Source organism: Homo sapiens, chromosome 2 (genome assembly GCF_000001405.40).
Source record: "Homo sapiens chromosome 2, GRCh38.p14 Primary Assembly".
NCBI classification, from domain to species: domain Eukaryota; kingdom Metazoa; phylum Chordata; class Mammalia; order Primates; family Hominidae; genus Homo; species Homo sapiens.
Genome location: NC_000002.12, coordinates 136,887,471 through 136,900,838, shown reverse-complemented (window position 1 = coordinate 136,900,838; position 13,368 = coordinate 136,887,471). Strand labels below are relative to the sequence as shown.

The 13,368-nt window shown below is 36.8% G+C and overlaps 1 protein-coding gene across 1 annotated transcript in view; it reads right to left on the bottom strand.

The window, feature by feature from the left end:
• The window catches only part of THSD7B (thrombospondin type 1 domain containing 7B), a 912,174-nt gene that overhangs the window by 776,880 nt on the left and 121,926 nt on the right, over positions 1–13,368 (bottom strand). The gene's annotated exons all lie outside the window — the stretch shown is intronic.

Here is a 13,368-nt window from a genome sequence, read left to right as displayed (position 1 = left end):
ATCAGCTGTGCACCCTTATCTTTCTTTCATCAGAATTTGAGCCTATGATTTTTACAGATATTAACATTTTTCTCTTGAAATGTAAGTTTTGAATCACTTTAAAATTGTCATGAAATATTTGTTGTAAAGGTTACATAATGCATGAAAATGAAAGTGAGTGGTATGTAAAGACATTTGTGCAAAATAGTGCTCCCTGGAAATAAAAAATACCAAATAAACACAAGCTGAAAAAGCATTAGGTATAGGAAACAGATCCCTTTTTGGTCTTTTATAAAATGTGATAAAAGGCCCTTCTCAATAGCCACACAGCTACAATGTTGAAACTGTTTTTTTCAAACAAAAATACAAAGAGATTTTGTTGTGTGGTGTGTGTGTGTGTATGTGTGTGTAGTGTGATCTAAATTAAGCCATGGTTCAGAGATGACTTTGGTTCTATTGATCGATAACAACACATAACTCAAAGCCATCTCAAGGGTAAAGGAGCCAAAGGAAACTTTTTAGCTATCACAAGTAACTTACTACAAAGAGAAAGGCAGTAAGAACAAACACACATCCACACATGTACACAACAGGTATGAGCAAGGACCAATATTTTACAGACCAAGTGGGTTAGTAACATTGGTTTAGAGATCCTGGTCTCAGCATTAGTGGGGCACAAAGTAAGGGTATACACAATTCTCAGCTGCAAACATGTCAGATCATTCATGGTGTTCAGATCGGATTCTCTTTGAACATATGCCCTTTCAAGTGAAATTAATCAATCTCTTTATCACTCTCACTGCATCTGGAGCCATAATCATTACCCAACTGCTGAGAAAGAAATGAAACCACTAATCGCACAGGGAGTGGAGCTTAGTGTTCAGAGCAGGAAAGTTTTTATTAAGTTCTAATTTGAAAAGTGATTTTTCATGACCAGCCAAACAAGACATGCTATGAGCAGCAGGCTGCACTATTGAACCTGCCAGCTAAGCATCCACTGGCATATTAGCAACATGTTAAGAACTTTAGAACTTATACTTCATTTGAATTATGCAATTATTGATTTTTAAAATCAGCTTATAATACTCAATACTCTACATAAGTATTCTGGGTCGCACTATGAGAATCTATTTGATTCTCTGAACTCAAGCATCCAACACATGAATGCCCAGTTATGTATAATTCTGAAATTCATCCACCAGCAATTTTAGGAACCCCACTTACAACAACTGTAACATAAACCCATTAAAATGCAATGAACAAGATTTTCACCTACTTGTAACTTCCTTGTGAACTTTATGAAACCTCACACCATTGAGGGACCTAAATATAGCTGTGCTTCACTGGAAACTGAAGTACAAAACCGATTTGTGCGTTTACTGAAATATATTGTCCAATTGGCTTGCCTTATAAAATTGGACACATGTTCCCAGAAGAAAAGTTACAGTGTGAAAATACAATTTTAAAATCACATTTAAGAATGCAATAAATATTTATCATGCACCTTACAGTTGAATAAATGGTAGTTACTTAAGGTGTGTAATAATACACGATACAAATAAATATGAAAATGAAAAAATGATATTTAACCCCCAGGGGTTGGGATTTTAGAGCACTCGACATAGCCTACAAGGTGGATCTTAAAACAGAGTTTTTAAGAAACAGAAAAGTAGTATCTCTTTACTATTTGAACCAGGTCCTCTCGACAATATAAGCTAAAAGACACTGGCCAGTTCCTGATATCACTTAATAGTCTATTCATTTAACTAAGGGTATTTTTTATGGTTCCTTGGTACTTTAAAGGGTATTTGCTATATTATTTTCCTTTTTGCTGGAAAAATGGCTTTTTCCATGGTAAAAATCCAGGAGTGGCCTCTGGACATAAGGGGTAACAATGATCATTAAAAGTCCCAGTTCCCAGTCGGGCACAGTGGCTCACACCTGTAATCCCAGCACTTTGGGAGGCCGAGGTGGGCAGATCACGAGGTCAGGAGATCAAGAACAACCTGGCCAACATGGTGAAACCCTGTCTCTACCAAAACTACAAAACTTAGCTGGGCATGGTGGTGCACGCCTGTGGTCCCAGCTACTCAGGAGGCTGAGGCAGGAGAACTGCTTGAACCTGGGAGGCGGAGGTTGCAATGAGCCGAGATCATGCCACTGCACTCCAGCCTGGTGATGGGGGGAGACTCCATTTCAAAAAAAAAAAAAAAGTCTCAGTTCCCCACTGTTATATCCCAAGTGAGTTTTAACATACTGTGAGCTCTTTTGGCGGGGGGGCGGGGGGACAAGGGGAGCTAAATAGAATTTTCTAGACTTTCTGGATAGTAAATGTTGGAGTAAAACTTACTTGCAGTACTCTCTGCCTAGTAGAAGCTCACAGTATGGGGCTGGGCGCTGTGGCTCATGCCTGTAATCCCAGCACTTTGGAAGACGGAGGCGGGCAGATCACCTGAGGTCAGGAGTTCACTGCACTCAGTCTATATTTTTAAACAATCTATTGCATTTCTTTGTCTTAGAAGTCAAAACTCTAAAAGCAGAATTTAAAGAAAAACTCTATTCAAACTGAATAAAAAATACTTATGAATAAACTTAACAAAAGAAGGACAAGGCTTATACACTAAAATTTATAAAACATCACTGAAGGAAATTAAAGAGATGAGACATTCTATGTCCATGGATTGGAAGACTCAATATTGTTAATGAGAGGTGAAGCCAGCTAGATTTCCTGGGTTGAGTGGAGACTTGGAGAACTTTTCTGTCTAGCTAGAGGACTGTAAATGCACTGATCAGCGCTCTGTGTCTAAAAGATTGTAAACGCACCAATCAGCACTCTGTAAAAACGCACCAATCAGCACTCTGTGTTTAGCTAAAGGATTGTAAATGCACCAATCAGCACTCTGTAAAAACGCAAGCGCTCTGTGTCTAGCTACAGGTTTGTAAATGCACCAATCAGCACTCTGTGTCTAGCTAAAGGTTTGTAAACGCACCAATCAGCACTCTGTAAAAATGCACCAAACAGCGTTCTGTGTCTAGCTGAAGGTTTGTAAGCGCACCAATCAGCACTCTGTAAAAGCGCACCAATCAGCGCTCTGTGTCTAGCTAAAGGTTTGTAAATGCACCAATCAGCACTCTGTAAAAATGCACCAATCAGTGCTCTGTAAAATGGTCCAATCAGCAGGACATAGCCAGGGTCAAATAAGGGAATAAAAGCTGGCCACCTGAGCCCGCAGCGGCAACCTGCTTGGGTCCCCTTCCACACTGTGGAAGCTTTGTTCTTTCGCTCTTCACAATAAATCTTGCTACTGCTCACTCTTTGGGTCCACACTACCTTTATGAGTTGTAACACTCACCACGAGGGTCTGCGGCTTCACTCCTGAAGTCAGTGAGACCATGAACCCACTGGAAGGAACAAACAACTCCAGATGTGCCACCTTTAAGAGCTGTAACACTCACTGTGAAGGTCTGTGGCTTCACTCCTGAAGTCAGCGAGACCACGAGCCCACCAGAAGGAAGAAACTCCGGATACATCTGAACATCTGAAGGAACAAACTCTGGACACACTATCTTTAAGAACTGCAACACTCACCATGCAGGTCCGTGACTTCATTCTTGAAGTCAGCGAGACCAAGAACCCACCGGAAGGAACCAGTTACGGACACATTAAGAGAATGATTCTTTCTATAATGATCTCTAGGCAACACAGTGAGACCTTGTCTCTACAAATTTTTTTTTAATTAAAAATAAGTAGCCAGGCAGGGTGGTGCACACCTGTAGTCCTAGCTACTTGGGAGGCTGAGGTAGAAGGATTGCTTGAGCCTAGGAGATTGAGACTGCAGTGAACAGTAATTGCACCATGGCACTCCAGAGTGGGTGACATAGTGAGACCCTGTCTTAAAAAAATATATATATATATGTATATATGTATATAGTACTGGCATAAGGATTATGTATAGACTATAGATCAATGGAACAGAACAGACATTCCAGAAATAAACTCTAATATTTACATTTAATTGATTTTCAACAAAGATGCCAAGGCAATTCAATGAAGAATTTCCATAGTTTTTACAACAAATTATGCTAGCACAATTGAATAGCCACATGTAAAAAATTGAACTTAGACTTTTATTCATACCAAAGAAATTAATTTGAAATGAGTCACAGACTTAAATGTAAGAGTTAAAACTATAAAAATTTTAGAAGACGACATAGGAGAAAATCTTGAGACTCTGAACAGGGCAAAGATTTCTTAGATAAAAGACCAAAGTATAATCCATTAATTTTTTTAAATTGGAAAACTAGGCTTCATAAGAATACAAAACTTTTGCACTTCAAAAGACACCATTGAACTGAAAAGAAAAGCCACAAGCTGGGAGAAAATATTTGCAAAACTCACATCCAATAAAGGATTTGCATCCAGAATGTACAAAGGACTCTTGAAACTCACTAATAGGAAAACAGTTTTAAAAAATGCAAAAAAGATGTACATAAACATTTCACCAAAGAAAATATACAAGTGGCTAATACTTTCAAAGATATAGTGAAATGCAAATTAAAACCACAATGAGGAACTATTTCACACCCACTAAAATAACTACAATCAAAAAGACAATATCAAATATTAGCAAGAATGTGGGGAAACAGGGACTCTCATATATCACTGATGGCAATGTGAAATACTATAGTCAGGTTGGAAAATAGTTTTTCTTAAAAAGTTCAGCATGTATATTCCATACAAGACAACAACTCTGCTCCCAAGAGAAATGAAAGCATATGTCTATGCCAAAATTTGCATGTTATGCCCATAACAGCATTATCCATAGCAGCCAAAGAGTAGAAACAACACAAATGTGAATATTTTTAAATGTGTTATATCCATACAATGGAATACTATTCAGTAATACAAAAGAATGAAATAGTGATAGATGCTATAATATAGAGCAACCACAAAACATTATGTGATATGAAAGAAGCTGGTTTTAAAAGGCCAATATTGTATTATTCTATTTATATGAAATATCCAGAGAAGACAATTTATTGAGACGGAAAGTAGATTAGTGGTTGCCTGGGCTAGAGGCAGGACAGAGGCTAACTGTAAATGGGCATGCAGGATTTTATTGGGGTGATTAAAGTGATCTAAAATTAGATTGTGTTGATGTCTGCACAACTTAATAAATGTACTAAAAAGTTTGAATTATACATTTTAAATTGGTAAATATTATGTAATATAAATTATGCTTCAATAAAGTTGCTTAAAATAAATAGCCAATCTTTCAGGCTAACAATTACTAGTATTGTAATAGCATGGAATTCTGTAAAAAAAAAAAAAAAAAAAAAAAAAAGTCTCCACTTGGCATAAAACATTGGTTCATTTGGATCATCAACCACCCAAAATGGTAACCCATTTACATGGTATTAAAAAGTTGTATTTTTTTTTATTAATGAGATCCTCTGTGGAGAATGGCAACATCATAAGCAGTTCTAAGTTACAGTTTCAAAAGAAGAAAACCTAAGACCTTTTCATAAAGAAAATTCAAGTCATAAAAGGGCACTGGGCAAGTTTCAGTTCTATCACATATCTACACTCTTCAAACTCAGTTTCTTCAACTGTAAAATAAAATGGTATTCCTGTCCTGCCTGCAGCATCCCAGGGCTATTGTAAGGCCTATATAAGAGAAACAAAAGAGAAGGTGCCATAATATAATATTTTTTGAACTCATTACCAAATATAAAGATGCCACTTATTCCCACCTACACTCTGGCTTTTCCTCATGTTAAGTCTGAAATTGAAGAAGTCAATCATATGGACCCATCTAAGCTCAAACCCAGGTTTGTTCAAACATGCCACAGACTGTCAGTTCTAAGAAAGCTTTGAGACTACATTCTGCCTGGTAATTGCTTTGGATAGAATCCCAGAGCTCTTGCTTTGAAAACAATAGAGTTTTATGAATGGAAATATCAGAGGAAAATATTGGAGGCCCAATATTTGAAACAGCTAAAGTATATTAGGAATGTCACTAGAGACATGCAATAACATAAAAAAATTTAAATATTTTAGAAAATAAACTTTAACGTGCAGAAAAGGAATACCTAATGGCCACTTTAGAAAAATAACATTTATCATTAGATGCATGTGTATGTATCCAAACTACATTACGTTCTACGTGTCAGAAGGTGGAGGGCCAAAGAATAAGTCTCTTCAAGTAACACCTATTTACCAGAAATAAAAAGTAGCATTAGTTACATGCTTTATATGACTCAAGCACGTAATATGTACTTTGAGTATAGAAAACTTAGTTTCAGTATGTAACATAGAATATCAACTAGGTTTTATATCATGCTTCTCATTCATTCCCGTTTTTTGGATGAGAAGGTAGAGGCATAAGGTTAAGGAACTTGCTCAAGGTCACACACAGCATGGCTTAGGACCTAGACAGCCTGATTCCAGTGTCCATGCTCTGAACCATTCCACCAACCTGCCTTGTATGTAGTGTCAGCTCCTTTATCATGTACAGTCATCAGTATTTGAAAATGTTATAAAGTTGTACAAATAAAGCCAAGTAATTAAGCTGAAAACAGTTTCTAAAAAGATTAAAAGTGCAGCACTCTTTTGCAACATAGCACATATATTTAGCAATAGAAATCTTTGAGCAGCTGCATTCAATTAGAAAATTATTAACCCTGAGGGAAAAGCTACAAAAGGCAAATCCACATTTTATTCTTTTTGTAGTGAAGTGTATTCATGAATGAAATCCACCACTGGATGACAGAACTACTTATTTCCACAATAGCTTTTTATTTTACACTTTTGGGGGAAAATGATCAATGTAAGAGAGTAATAATATCATGGATTCTCTACATGATCTGTAATAGTTACTTGATTCCCATAGTAACTCTAAAAAGAAAGGAAACAAAAGCCTGAGATGGTTAATTTGTATTTCTACTTTTGCTAAGAAAATAAGCTTTAATAGTACCTATTATTAGAATAAGGTAATAAGTATGAGTGATGTTAAATGTACACCTTTTATTTCTCTAATTGAGTCTCAGATAACATCTGTGGCCCTAATATCTACAGCATATATGTCATCTGTGGCTATAGTGTTGGGAACTTTAGTGAAATATCAAAATAACTGCATAAATAGGGTAAATCCATAAGGTACACAGAAGAAGGTGGGCTTTTAAAAACTTTGATTCCAATAAAAATTGACTGTGGTTTATGGCATCTAAGGTCATGACCATAAAGGTGTTTACAAGGTAAGCTTTTAAGGTTCCTTTGTTACTCCAAAGTACTGTTGTTCAGTCTTTAGTTTATGATTCAATTCCACTCTGATATGTCTGACTTGTTTTGAACTCTGACCTTTGTTTGTATTTATATAGTGACCTGTATTTCCCAGTTAATAATAATTCAAACTTAAGTAAAATATCAAAACTCTGCCATGGCCGAAAAAGGTGCAGGGAGACATTTCCAGGTGCCAAAAAGAAATTTCTCCACCAATAATTTCACCACGAGGCAGAATATTTCCCATATCAAATTGTCAATCCAGTATCTCAATTCAACTCCCAATCATCTAAAGCCAATGAACATTTGAATTAGGTTTTTTGAAGTTTTAATCTGAAAAAGCTTTAGTGGCCAGTTATTATAGACAGATTTTCTAGCATATGTGCAAAGAGGATACCTGGGTCAATTATTGTAAAATTAACCCAGTTCAACATGCTATTATATTCCAGAACAAACAGACTGTGGTAGAAGTGGTAAAACGTAAATGAGAAGACTTCCCGTTAATGTGGAAGACATGACATAGGTATAATTTTCACTCCCTGCTAATACTCCACTGAAATAACAGTTAAAAGCATTAAATGATATAACTCAGTAAAGGTCAAAAAGAGAGAAAGGTCGAGAAGATATAGCAATGAATTCTGCAACATGAAGAGGCAGATAAATGTAGGAGCTCTAAGCGGCTTTGCAATGTAAAAGAAGCTGAATATTAGGGGCCTACAGAAGAGTATGAACCAACAACAAAAAGGCAATTTATACTTGCAGAACTCTGGGAAGGCTTGGGACCTAGACACTCTAAGAAGGGGCAAGGCTTGTGGCTTGAAATGAAGAATACTTTAAAATCCATACATGGAACTAATTAGCTCCCCAGATCCTTTCCTCTGTCCCTTCCTTAATCTCTGCAGGAAAACAGACAGCAAAATTCAACTTCTCAAGAGGACATTCTTGAGAAGAGTAGACAACGTGGAAGGCAATTTGAGGTATATCATTCAAAAGAGAGGATATACGTGAAATACTGGGGACTAAATGTTGAGCCATCTCCACCGAGACCCACTCCCTTGCCCTTTTTTCAGTAGTCCAGCGTAGGTAGTAGAAAAAATGTTCCTATTTGAGGAGACGCTGAATAGCTCCTATACTAAAAATTATGCATTTATTATGACTAAATCCAATTTCCCTTCTTACATAACAGCCCAGTCACAGACTCACCTTCCCTTGTGGCTAGGAGTGGCCAGGTAACTATCTTCTCACCAGTGAAATTTGTAAACAGAAGTGATGGGTCATGGCAGCTTTAAAACACATCTGTAAATTATTTGCCACTCCTCCCATCAAGAGATGATCTGGAAGCTCTCTCCTTGGAGACTTAATTGTAACTAACAGAAGGCAGAAAAAGTGACCATGCATGGCCCTCAGGCTAGTTAAGAACAAGCCAAGCAGTTCTTCTCTGTTTCTCTGTGGAAGCTTACTCTGAGAGCCTTCAGACACCTATGTAAGGATCCCGGCTGCCCTGAAGCTTCCATATGGCGAGACCACACAGAGAGAAAGGGATACCTGAAGAATTTCAGCTGTTCCAACCCCAGCTAGTTAAGTCCTCCCAGCCCAGGTGCCAGCTATGTGAGTGATGAAGCCCTCCAGATGACCCCAGCCCCTGAACCAGCTGATTACAATGGCACAAGAGAACGAACCCAAGTGAGAACACTTAGCAGGGCCTAATGACCCACTGATGTGTGAACAAAATTGGTGTGTTACTGTTTTAAATCACTATTTTGGGGTGAGCTATTACACAGCAATAGAGAATTGCAACATGGATGGAACTGCTGTGTCACTTGTTTGAAATCTGTTGTTCTGGACTTCAGCTCTTACCTCTTTTCATCAACTAGAACATGGAAATGCCTGTGACCCAGCTTGGATGGGCAGAGAATGATGATGTCTTTCCCGAATATGAAAGAAAGGTGCCTGGCTGAATGGACACAGGGAGCGGAGCCTCCAGTCTGGACCACTAACTACATGATTTCACATAAGAGAGGTCTGAGCTTCTATCTTTTTAAACCACTGTATTTGGGAGCATCTTTGTTACAGCTGCTTAGCCTCCACCTTAAAGAATAGACTTCCAGAGAAAAAACTCTGGGTATTGATAAATATAGATTATTTGAGGGACCCATACTCTAATAAAAAAGCCAGCTCTCCACACAAAAATATTTTGACAGTGAAGCCCAACAGCTGAGTCATGTACATGGAATGTTGAATCAGTTTTAGTGCCTCGCTTTTAATAATGTGAAACACTAAAGAGATAGCCAATAATTAATAGACATTAGAAGAAAGCTCACTATGTCAGGGGCCATGATCAAACACATAAATGAAGGAAACAGGAAAAAATGACTCAGAGGAAGCAGAGAATGAAAGGAAAAAGATTAAACTGTCCTTAATATCCTCTGAATGAAAAGTCACTACATCTATGAAACAAGATGAAATTTAAAAAAATCATAGAACAAGTAAAAGACCTTACAAATTAAAAAAAGGGATTGTAGAAATAAAAAAAGTTCAAAATAATAGTTAAAAGATGAAGTAGAAAAAAAATTTAGACATTAAAATAAATATACAAACAAAACACAAATATGGAAATTATCTAAAAATTGAAGATCAGTAAGAGAGGTCAAACCTTTGTCTAAGGAGTTTCAGAAGGAATTCACACAACAGAGAAGAGGAAATTGCATAAAAAAAAAATCTCAGAAGTGTAGGACATGGCCAGGCACGGTAGCTCACGCCTATAATCCCAGCACTTTGGGAGGCTGAGGCAGGTGGATCACCTGAGGTCAGGAGTTCGAGACCAGCCTGGCCAACATTGTGAAACCCTGTCTCTACTGAAAATACAAAAACTTAGCCTGGCATGTTGGTGGATGCCTGTAATCCCAGCTACTCAGGAGGCTGAGGCGGAAGAATCGCTTGAACCCAGGAGGTGGAGGTTGCAGTGAGCCGAGATCACACCATTGCACTCCAGCCTGGGCGACAGAGTGAGACTCCGTCTTAAAAAAAAAAAAAAAAGAAGAAGAAGAAGAAGAAGAAGAAAGAAGAAGAAGAAAGGAGAAGAAAGGAGAAGAAAGGAGAAGAAAGGAGAAGAAAGGAGAAGAAGAAGAAGAAGAAGAAGAAGAAGAAGAAGAAGAAGAAGAAGAAGAAGAGGAAGAGGAAGAGGAAGAGGAAGAGGAAGAGGAAGAAGAAGAAGAAGAAGAAGAAGAAGAAGAAGAAGAAGAAGAAGAAGAAGAAGAAGAAGAAGAAGAAGAAGGAGTAGGACATGGACATGAATGAGCAATGAGTACACCAATCGAAATATCCTACAAACATCTAGCACCATAAAGAAAACAGGCTTACCTCAAAGCATATAATCACGAAATTTCAGACTTCATGGATAAAAAAAGATGCCAGAGAAAGAATAACAAGCAAACAGGTAGCAATGTGCAAAAAGTCGGGATCAGAATGGCGTCAAATTTCTCAGTAATGGCACTGGGGACTATAATACAATAGGGCAAGACTTTCAAAATTCTGAAGGAAAAAATGCCTTTTAACCTTGAATGTCACACCCAAGCTATCAATCAAGTATATGACAAGCACAAAGACCCTTTCAGACATCAACGGATTTGAAAAATTACTTCCAGTACACCCTATTTTAGCAGTACTAGAGGATGCGTTTAGCAGTTCTGGAAAACACGACAATAAAGGCAAAGAAGAGAAACAGAACAGGAAACAAGGGATTCAAGATGATCGAGAGCAAAAGGATGTTCCACAGATGATGACTATGCAGGCTGTGCAGGGGGACAGGACTGTGGGAAAATCTCCCAAAGAAAAAAATATAATAGAGCACTTGGAACTGCGCTTGAATCTTTGAATAAATTAATGATGGGCATGTGACATATCAGATGGAGCCTTGGGGAAAAGCAGCAGTAGGTTCAAAGAAAACCAAGCAAAACAATAAAGAAGGAAATTTTTCATTTCCATGTAAAAGAAAAAGCTGAACAAGAAAGGATGCAGGTGCACAGCACACTGCTTGGCTCAGCAGCGGACACTACAAAGAGTATGGGCACTGTTTGTTGATTTAAATATTTTGATAGAACTATTCTGAATAACTGTAGTAAGGAGGAGAGGAGTAGATCTAGGAGACATAAATCCTTAACTAACATAACAGAGAGTCAATAGGAACTATCTAATATCTATCAACTAAGAAGTATCAATCATGAGCATATTACCTAGAAATATGAAGGTGAATATCAGAATAAACAGCAAAAAGAGCTGAAACTGTCTCTTTATGTAAATGAACTGGAAGGTGAGATATAACTATAATATCTTGTTATAAGATTTAGAATAATATTTAAATCTTTAACTATGTGAGCCTGTTTTTTAAAGATTGAGTTCAACCTCTTTTCCAGAGATGATCAGAAATGGTACTGGAATAAAGTGACATGGAAATACATTTTCACATTTACTGATTTATAAGTTTGACTTTAATTTATAGTCATTTTATATCCTCTCCTCAATATATACTACAAGCTCTAGAATAAGATGGGTCATATTTTCTCTTTCATCTCTTCTCAACTCCCCTAAATACATGTACACACACACAAGCACACACACACACACACACACACACCCCAAAAGACAGTGTCCCTTATTTTATTTAATGTGCTGGGGATATTTTTCATATTTTATTCTTATTATATAGGTTATGTATATTCTTGACACTTGGAGTATATTGGTGAATAAAACCAGCAAAATGCCCTGTCCTCAGGGAGCCTATATTTTAATACTACTTAGAAAAAATATAGCAGAGTAATTTATTTTATGCAATTTAGGTAAGATGGATGTTTTTCTGACCTATTGGAAACCTTGGAAAATTAGTGACTGTGGTCTATAAAAAAATTAGAATTTTTAGTGGTGAACTCCAGGCCATATGTCTATACTTTTGGATATTGCTGATTTAACACTCATGCCTCTTAGATAAACCAATATCCATGGAAGTAATTAAAATGATGTCAACATAAGTAAAATTTCCAGAAAAAAATTTCATGAACTTCTAGCACATATTTTAAAAAATAGCTCTCTCCTAAGAACATTTTATTTTCTCTAAAATTCCTAACCTTTAATATATAAATAGGTAATATACATAATGCAATTTTTTCCTTAAAGTACATTCAATGCTGAAAACACTATTATTTAAGCTATAACTAAATATTAATATATGTAAGATACTTTATTCCTTATGCAATGCAATTTTCATAGTCTCTTTTTTCCAAAAATATTAATTCCAATTTATATACTTAGTTCTTAGAAACAGGTCATTATCCTCACCCTTTTTATTCATTGAGCATGAGCTACTGAAATTAAAACTTTCCTAGAGTTTGGCATATATAAAGTTTTAGACCTAAAAAAGCCAGTGAAATAATTTTGACCATTTATTAATAAAGTGCACATATCTGTCAAATAATCCCCTCTTTTTTGTATGTCTAAGAGAAGTATACAGAAATTGTATAACATAAAAGCACAAGTAAATATTTTAAACCTGAAATTATTATACAACAATGATAGAAATAGTAGCTAACAGTTATTGAATAGCCACTATATATTAGGTATTTCAAAGTGTCTTACTTAATTCTCAAAGAGTCCTGTAAAGTGTTTATTATCAATATCCATTTTCAGATGGATAAATATGGCTCAGAGAGGTTAAACAACTTTTTCCCCTTAGACAACCAGGATTTGAACATTTGTTTACCTGTATTAGTATTAGTCTGTATTAGTGTTAGTATTATACTTGTATTAGTATGTTTTCATTTCTCAAAGGAATACCCAAGACTAGGTAATTTATAAAGAAAATGTTTAATTTGGCTCATGGTTCTACAGACTGTACAGGAAGCACAGTGCTAGCATCTGCTTCTGGTGAGACCTCAGGAAGCTTACAATCAGAGAGGAAGGCAAAGGGAGAGCCAGTGTGTCACATGGCAAGAGGGAGCAAGATGGGGGGTAGGTGCCATTCTCTTTTAAACAACCAGATCTCTCAGGAACTAATAAAGCAAGAACTCACTCACTACTGCCAGGATGGCACCAAGCCATTCTTCAGGGATCCCCCC